Consider the following 9,710-nt stretch of genomic DNA (forward strand, 5'->3'; position numbering starts at 1 on the left):
CAATTGCTAAATGCCAGTGGCTAAGAAATGTGGGTGGGCTTCATCAAATCTATTGAAGATCTGAATAGAACAGACAGACTGACTCTCCTGCAAGTAAGAGAGAATTTCATCCTGCCTGACTGCTTTGAGCTGGGAGGTGGTTTTTTTTTTCCTGCCATTTTTGAACTGAAGTATCAGCTTTTTATGAGTCTTGAGCCTGCCAGCCTTTGAACTGGAAGTACACCATTGGCTCTGCTGTTTCCAGCTTACTAACTGCAGATTTTGGGACTTGTCAGCCTCAATAATCATAGGAGCCAATTCCTTACACACACACACACACACACACACGTTATGCATATGTACAAAATTATATATAGTTATATATTATATTTAAGTATAATCATATCTATCTATTCCAAAATTGGGTCTCTAATCTGATTACACTTTAAGTTGCTAATAACTTTATTTCCAATTGTAAAGAGAGCACTAATAGTCCATGGCATGATCTAGCAATAAAGATATCACCACTGGATACTCCTAATCAACCCCTTATAAGAGACAAGGAGCTGGGTAACTGTGTATACTTTCAATTATTTTCCTCACACTAACAAATATAATAAGACTCACCAGGTGTTTCTAATGTGAAGTGATACTAAGTGGACAAAGGATGAAAAACACTTAATGGTAAGTATGTGGGTAAATACAAAGGCTTTTCTCATTTTTAAATTTCCTTAAAAGATAATTGATTGTTTAAACAAAAATAATAACAACGTACTGTGTGGCTTATAACATATTAAAGCAAAATATGTAATGATAGCATGATGGACAGAATGGAGGAAACAGAAGTATATGGTTGTAAGGTCTTACATTGTACATAAAGTGTTATAATAGTATATTTGTAATGAGCTAATGATACATATTGTATACCCTCATGCAACCACTAAACATGAAGCCAGAGTTATAGCTAATGAACTCACAGTGGAGATAAAATAGAACCATAAACATTTTTAATTCCTCTAAAAGAAATCAAGAAAAGAGAAATAAAGGATGAAGAACAGATGAAATAAACAGAGAACAAATGACAAATGGTAGATTTATACCCAACTATACTGATAATTATATAAAATGAAAATGGTCTAAAAATTCCAATAAAAAGACAAATATTTTTAGACTGTATAATAAGGCAAGACTCAACTCTATGTTGTCTGAAGACCTCAATAATTTAAAGGCACAGGTAGGTCAAAAGTAAGAGGATGGAAAAAAATATACCATGTAGCACCAATTATAACAAAGTTGGAGGGGCTAGTTAAATATCAGAAAAAGTAAACTTCAGAACAAGAAATATGCAGAACAAGAAATAAACGAGAACATTTCATAATGATAAATTTATCAGAAAGAGAAAAATTGTAAACATATATTCACCTAATAATAGAACTTCAAAATATGACAAAGAAATGGACAGAAATGAAGGGGGAAGTAGAGAAATCTACACTTATATTTACAAATTGTCATACTTGTTTCTCAGTAACTTATAGAACAAGTAGAAAAAATGAATAAAGGGGAAGGACACTTGAACAATACTACTAACCAACTTGATTTAATTGATGCCTATAGAACCTTCTACCTAAATACAGATTTTTAGGTGTAGTGTTCTATATCCTAGGAATGCAAAGTCAGTTTAATCAACAGCGCAATAAATCAATCAACGCAATTCACCATATTCATAGAATCCACATTGTTTCCAACTGAACACAAAACTTTCATTATAATGGACCATATCTGGGGCAGAAAACAACTTTATACATTTAAGAGGACCAAAATAATATAGAACATGTTATCTAAATTCAGTGGAACTAAAATAGAAGTTAATAGCAGAAGGATATCTAGAAAATCCCCAAGTATTTGGAAACTGAGCAACATGCTTTTAAATAATACATGGATCAAAGAGAAAATCACAAAAGATATTTTAAAATAATTTTTCCTAAATAAGAATTAGAACACAGACTATCAAAATTTTTGTAATGATTAGAGACAAATTTATAACTTTAAATGATTTTTATTAGAAAATATAAAAAGTCCAAGGTCAATGATTTAAGCTTTACTTTTAGAAGTTGGAAAAAGAGGAGCCAATTAAACCTAATGTAAGTAGAAGAAAGGAAATCAAGTTAATAGCAGAAAACAATGTAATAGAAAAAGGAATAATAAAGAAAGTCAATAAGATAAAAAGTTCTTTGAAAAGATCAATAAAATTGATAAACTCCTAATAAAAAGTCATAAAACAAACTACCAACATCACTAATAAAAGAGGGAATAAAAATTACAGACTATGTAGAGATTAAAGAAATAATATGGGGATATTATAGAAGCTTTACGGCAACAAATTTGACAACCCAGAGGAAATGGGAAAATTTTTCAAAAGAAAAATTACTAAAGCCCAGTGAAGAAAAAATAGATAATCTGAATAGCTTTATAACCGTTAAAGAAATTAACTTTGTAATTAAAAACCTTCACACAAGGAAAATTCCGGGCTCCAGTGACTTCTCTAGTGAATTCAATCAAATATTTAAGGAAGTAGTAGTATCACTTTTATACAAACTTGCAGAAAGTAAAGGAGGAGGAAAGACTTTCTAACTTAATTTATGGGATCAGCATAATCCTGATATCAAACTCAGAGAAAAGATACTACAAGAAAAAAATCTTATAGGCCAATGTCCACAAGGAATATACATGCAGCTGGGCACCATGCTCACGCCTGTAATCCCAGCACTTTGAGAGGCTGAGCTGGGTGGATCACTTGAGGCCAGGAGTTCAAGACCAGCCTGGGCAACATGGTGAAACCCCATCTCTACTAAAAATACAAAAAATTAGCTGGGTGTGGTGGTGTACGCATGTAATCCCCGCTACTCAGGAAGCTGAGGCAGGAGAATCACTTGAACCTGGGAGGTGGAGGTTGCAGTGAGCTGAGATCGTACCACTGCACTCCAGGCTGGGAGACAGAGCAAGACTCTGTCTCCAAAAAAAAAAAAAAAAAAAAAAAAAGGAATATACATGCAAACATCCTTAAAATATTTCAGTATGTTGAATCTAGGAATATATGTAGAGGGTAATACACTATGACCAAGAGTGCTTATCCTAGAAATGCAAAGTTAATCAGTGCAATTGACCAATCAATGAATGCAATTCTAGCAGTTTAAAGCAGAAAACCCAGGTGATGATCTAGATAGATGTTATAAAAGCATTTGACAATATGCAATACTCATTCACGATGTACTTTTTTTTAAAAAAATAAAATCCTCTTAAAACACTGGCGTAGAAGGGAAATTCATCAACCTGAAAAAATGCTGTCATGAAAAACCTACAGGTATTATCAAATTTGATAGTGAAAGACATAATGTTTTCCTCCTCAGGTTGGGAGTGAGGCAGGAATGTCCACTTTTGCCATGATCATTCAACATTGTACCAAAAGTCCTAGGTGGTGCAATAAGGTAAGAGGAAATACCGACATAAGATTCGAAAGGAGGAGGTAAAACTGAATCCATTCATAGAAGAAATAATAATGTACTTTAAAATCCTAAGGAATTTACAAAAAGTTACTAAAATAAGCGAATTTAGCAAGGTCATAAGATACAATGGTCAGTAAACAAAAGATCAGTTGTTTTCCTAAATTGTGGCAATTTGGAAGATTAAATTATATAAATAATACTGTCTATAGTACCATTTGAAAATACTTACAAGATGAGCAAAATCTCTGTGTAAAAAACTATGAAACATTGTGGAGACAAAGTGAATTGCCAATATTGTTAAGAAGTCAGCTCTCCTGATTTTTGGTTGAAATTGACAAAGCGATTCCAAAATCTACATGGAAGTACAAATAATCTAGAATAATCAAAGCAATTTTTACAAAGAATGAATGTTGAGGACTTATCTACTTTATTTCAAGATTACAGGAAAGCGAGTAATGAAGACATGTGGTATAGGTTTCAGTTTAGACAATTCGTCAGTGGAACAGAATCAGATGTCCTGTTTCTGGACATACATAATATGTTGATTCCTAACAAAGTTACCAAAGTAATTTGATGGGGAAAAAGATAGTCTTTGAATAAATGGTGCTAAAACAAGTGAAGATCTATACATGAAAAAAGTGAACTTCAACCCTTACCTATACCATAACTTGAAATGTATCACAGACAAAAATAAAAGCTAAATTTGTAAAGCTTCTAGAGAAAAACATAAGAGAAAATCTTCACAACTTGGGCAGGCAAAGATTTCTCAGGGCACATAAAATTTTCGAGGAAAAAAATTGATAAATGGGCCTTATTGAAATTAAAAGTTTTTGGTCTACAAAAGACACCATGAAGAAAATGAAAGGGCAAGTTGCAGACCAGGAGAAAATATACACAGGTATTTGGCAAAGTAATGGTATGCAAAAATTAAAAAGAACCCTGGAAGATCAGTAAGAAGAAGACAAAACAACTTTATCAAAATGGGCAGAAAATTTTGAGCAAACACTTCCCGAAACAACCAATAAACACATAAAAAGATGCACTGCAGCATTACACATCAGGGAAATGTGACGACCCCTCACACCATGAGGATGCCTGAACTTAAAGATCAACAATTCTGAATTTTTGTAAGAATCGGGAGCAACTAGAACTCTTGTACAATGTTAGTGGAAATTCAGGATTAATGCTGTCACTTCGAAAAACAGTTTGGAAGTTTCTTATGAATTTAAATATATACTTACTATACAAACCAGAAATTTCCACATCAAGTTAAAAAGCTGCACAGCAAAGGAAATGACAAAGTGAAGAGACAGCCTACAGAATGGGAGAAAATATTTGCAAACTACCCATCTGATCAATAACCAGAATCTATGCAAAGCTCAAACAACTAAATAGGAAGAAATCTAATAATATAATTAAAAATGGGTAAAATATCTGAATAGACGCTTCTCAAAAGAGGTCATACAAATGACACATAGGCATATGAAAAGGTGCTCAACATCATTGATTGTCAGAGATATGCAAATCAAAACTACAATGGGATCTCATGTCAACCCGGTTAAAGTGGCTTTTATCCAAGAAAGGCAATAACAAATGTTGGTGAGGATGTGGAGAAAAGTGAACCCTTATACACTGTTGGTGGGAATGTAAATTAATACAGCCACTAGGATGAACAGTATGGAGGTTCCCCAAACAACTGAAAATAGAACTACCCTATGATCCAGCAATCCTACTGGTAGGTAAATACCCAAAAGAAAGGAAATTAGTATATCAAAGAGACAGCTGCACTTCCATGTTTATTGCAACACTATTCACAATAGCCAAGATTTGAAATCACTCTAATTGTTCAACAATAGACAAATGGATAAAGAAACTGTGGTACATATATACGATGGAGTACGATTCAGCCATAAAAAAGAATAAGATCCTGTCATTTACAACAACATGGATGGAATTAGAGGACATAATGTTAAATGAAATAAAAAAGGCACAGAAACACAAATTTTGCATGTTCTTACTCATTTGTGGGAGCTAAAAATTAAAAATATTGAACTCATGGAGATAGAGAGTGGAATGATGGTCACCAGAGCTGGGAAAAGGTTGTGGGTGTGGAGGGTGGGAAATGGAGATGGTTAATGGGTACAAAAGTAGAGTTAAATACAATGAATAAGATGCAGTATTTGATAGCACAACAGGTTGGCCAGTCAACAATAATTTTTAGTATATTTAAAAATAAGTAAGCGTGTATAATTGGAATTTTTGTATCACAAAGAAATGATAAATGCTTGAGGTGATGGATACCTTGTTTACCCTGATGTGATTATTACGCATTGCATGCCTGTATCAAAACACCTCATGTACTCCATAAATATATACACCTACTATGTACCCATAAAAATAAAAAAAAAACAGAAATTCCTCTCCTAGGTATTTATTTATTCAAGAGGAATAAAAACACCTGTGTTCACAAGGACTTATAAACAAATATTTATAACAATTTTAGTAGCCTCAAACTGGGGAAAAACCCCAGACAGTAGAATGGATAAGCAAATTGTGATATTGCTGCAGAATGGAACACTACCCAACATTAAAGCAGGAGAGATTACAGATACACATGACAAGGAGAATGGAGCCCAGAAACATTATGATGAGTGAAAGGAGCCCACACAAGAGACTACAGTCATGGTGGTATAGTTTGGCTGTGTCCCCACCCAAATCTCATCTTGAATTCCCATGTGTTGTGGGAGGGACCCAGTGGAGGGCAATGGAATCATGGGGGCAGATCTTTACTGTGCTGTTCTCATGATAGTGAATAAACCTCATGAGATGTGATGGTATTATAAGGGGGAGTTCCCTTGCACAAGCTCTCTCTTTGCCTGCTGCTAACCATGTAAGACGCGACTTGCTCCTCCTTGCCTCCCGCCGTGATTGTGAGGCCTCCCCAGCCACCTGGAACTGTAAGTCCATTAAATCTTTTTTTTTTTTTTTGTAAATTGCCCAGTCTTGGGTATGTCTCTATCAGCAGCTTGAAAATGGATTAATACACAACGATGCTCAATGACAGTGATGCGTTCTCAGAAACACATCATTAGGGGATTTTGTCATTGTGTGAACATCATAGAGTGTACTTACACAAACCTAAATGGTACAGCCCATTACATACCTGGGCTCTATGGCATAGCCTGTTGCTCCTAGGCTACCAATCTGTGCAGCATGTGACTGTACTGAATACTGCAGGCAACTGTAACATGGTAATATTTGTATATCCAAACATAGCTAAACATAGGAAGGGTAGAGTGAAAATACAGCATAGAAGACAAAAAGTAGTGCACCTCTGTGGGGCATCTACCATGAATGAAGCTTGCAGGTCTGGAAATTGCTCTGGATGAGCTAGTGAGTGAGTGGTGAGTGAATGTGAAGTCCCAGGACATCATTGTACACTATTACAGATTTTATAAACACTATAAACTTAGGCTACACTAAATGTATTTTAAATTTTTTTCTTCCTTCAATAATAAATGAACCTTAGCTTCTTTATGTTATCAACTTTATTTTTTTAACTTTTTGACTTTTTTATATTAATACTTAGCTTAAGACACACGTTGTATAACTGTACAAAAATATTTTCTTTCTTTATATCCTTATCCTATAAGCTTTTTTTCTTTTTTTACATTTTAAATTAGAAAAAAATTAAAATGAAGACACACACATTAGCCCACACCTACCCAGGGTCAGGATTATCAATATCACTGCGTTCCACCTCCACATCTTGTCCTACCAGATGGTCTTCTGGGGCCGTCATGCACATGGAGCTGTCATCTCCTGTGATGAGAGTGCCTTGTTCTGGAATCCCTCCTGAAGAACCTGCCTGAGGATGTGTTACATTAACTTTTTCTTTTTAATAAGTAGAAGGAGTGCATTGTAAAATAATCATGAAAGTATAGTATAGTAAATACATAAACTGCTAACAGTCATTTGTTATCATTGTCAAGTACTATGCACTGTACATAATTCTATGTGCTAGATTTTATACAACTGGCAGTGCAGGTTTGTTTACACCAGCATCACCACAAACACCTAAATAATACATTGCACTAGGTTGTTGCCAGGCGATAAGATTCTTTCAGCTCCATTATAATTTAATGGGATCACCGTCTGTAGTTGACTGAAGTGTCACACAGCATGTGACTGTATGCATATTCACCTCCTAGAACCCAGACTCATACGAAGAAGTAGGGAATACCCTACTCGCAACCATGTTTTATTTCCTAGTTTCTTCCATTGGCCATTTTCTTTTTCAGGCTGGAGACTTCCCTCCCATCCCCACTGGCGTTCCCAGTCTCTCTGCCTCCTAAGTCTTCCTCTGTTGCTCTCTGGGGACCAGCTTGTGCAGCAGTTTTGTATCACTGTAGGGTAGGGCTTCAATGAGCCCTGTCCTGTGTCCTTCCCTGGCTCACTGCGTCTTACCTTCCCTTCCTCGCACAGCCCAGGGCCTGACACCACCTCCTGCAGTTGGTCATTCAGGAGCAGGGCACTCAGGGAAGGAGACGGCTCTGCTTCGAGTATAGCCTGGGCACCATCCACAAACGCCTTGGTGTTTGAACTCACCTGTGCATCCCAGATACAGGTATAGTCTCTCCAAAACAAAGGATGTAGGAAATATTTTTACTTCTCCATCTTTCCAAAGTATCCTTCCCTTAGTATCTCAGCAACCTTCCCCGGAGAGGCTCTTTGGGCTGTGGATGTAGTACCCAGTATCCTGGGCTGCAGATTCATTGATTTTCCAGGCTTTGATTGGGTATAATCATGCTCAGAGCTGAGCAAGGTTGGCAGTGAGTGGGCCACTGACATCAGCTTATTCATGATCTCTCTGTGCTCCGATTCTGACATGAACTTCCTTTTCTGTCTCAGAGGAGAGAGATTTCAGGGCTGTGAGCCTGAGGATGGACCAACACACACGTCAGTTGTGTCTCTGAGGACTAGAGATGGCCAGGACCCAGGACCCCAGCTAGCCTCCGGATGCTGCTGGCTGCTGGGGACCCGTGACCTAAGGCACACCCCTCAAAACATTTTCTTTCATTCCTGTCAATCTCCTGTACTGGTGACTGGGCTGGGACCTCCTGCTGGCCTCCAGGGCCCCACCTGAGCCTCTGGTCCCGGCCTCAGTCAGGCCCAGGCCTAGGGGACCGGCTTCTTGTTTCCTTTCCCGAGAGCGCTCTGGGAGTCCTTACAATAGATTCCAACCCAGGCACTTTTGACAGTGAAAGAAGATTTGTATTATTTTCTTAGGGCTGCCGTAACAAATTGCCACAAACTTCATGGTTTAAAAGAACAGAAATTTATTATCTCACGGTTCTGGAAGTCAGAAGTCCGAAATCACAGTGTCACAGGGCTGTGCTCCCTACTTAGGCTCCAGGCAAGGTTCTTCTTTGCTTTCCTGCTTCCAGTAGCTCCAAGCTTGGCTCGTGGCTCTGATCTCTGCCTCCAGCCTCCCATAGCCTTCTCCTCTGTGTGTGTCTCTCCTTTTCTGTCTCTTACAAGGACTGAGTACTCAAACTTATATCTAACAAAGTACTGGTATCAAAAATGTAAAAATTACTCCTGCAATTCAATAATAAGAAGACAAACAACTTAATTAAAAATGGCAAAGTCAGGATGAACTTACCCGAAGATCCTTAATTTAATTACATCTACAAAGCCGTTTTATCCAAATAAGGTTATAGTCACAGGATCCAGGAGTTTGGACCCAGACCAACCTTTTGTGGGGGCCACAATTCAACCCACTCCAGGATTTTAATAATAACTATTCCATAACAAAAGACAGAACACCATGACTGTCCCTCCATTCGCCTGCATGGCCTCTGAAACCTAAGGACACCTTAGAAGTGGCATCTCCAGCTCGGCGTGGTGGTTCATGCCTGTAATCCCAACACTTTGGGAAGCCGAGGCCGGCAGAGCACTTGAAATCAGGAGTTTGAGACAAGCCTGGGCAACATGGCAAAACCCCGTCTCCACTAAAAATACAAAAATTAGCCAGATGAGGTGGTGCACGCCTGTAATCCCAGCTATGTGGGAGGCTGAGGCAGGAAAATCATTTAAACCTGGGAGGTGGAGGTTGCAGTCAGCCGAGATCGAGCCACTGCACTCCAGCCTGGAAGATAGAGTGAGGTTCTGTCTCAAAAAAAAAAAAGTGTCATCTCCACCACTGGCTCCCTGGGCCACAGACAG

General features: G+C 37.6%; 1 protein-coding gene across 1 annotated transcript in view; it reads right to left on the reverse strand.

Moving 5' to 3' along the window:
- Nucleotides 1-9,710, reverse strand: part of ANXA8 (annexin A8) — a 523,804-nt gene that overhangs the window by 480,826 nt on the left and 33,268 nt on the right. The window lies entirely within an intron of this gene.

This window comes from Homo sapiens, chromosome 10 (assembly GCF_000001405.40).
Source record: "Homo sapiens chromosome 10, GRCh38.p14 Primary Assembly".
Classification (NCBI taxonomy): Eukaryota; Metazoa; Chordata; class Mammalia; order Primates; family Hominidae; genus Homo; species Homo sapiens.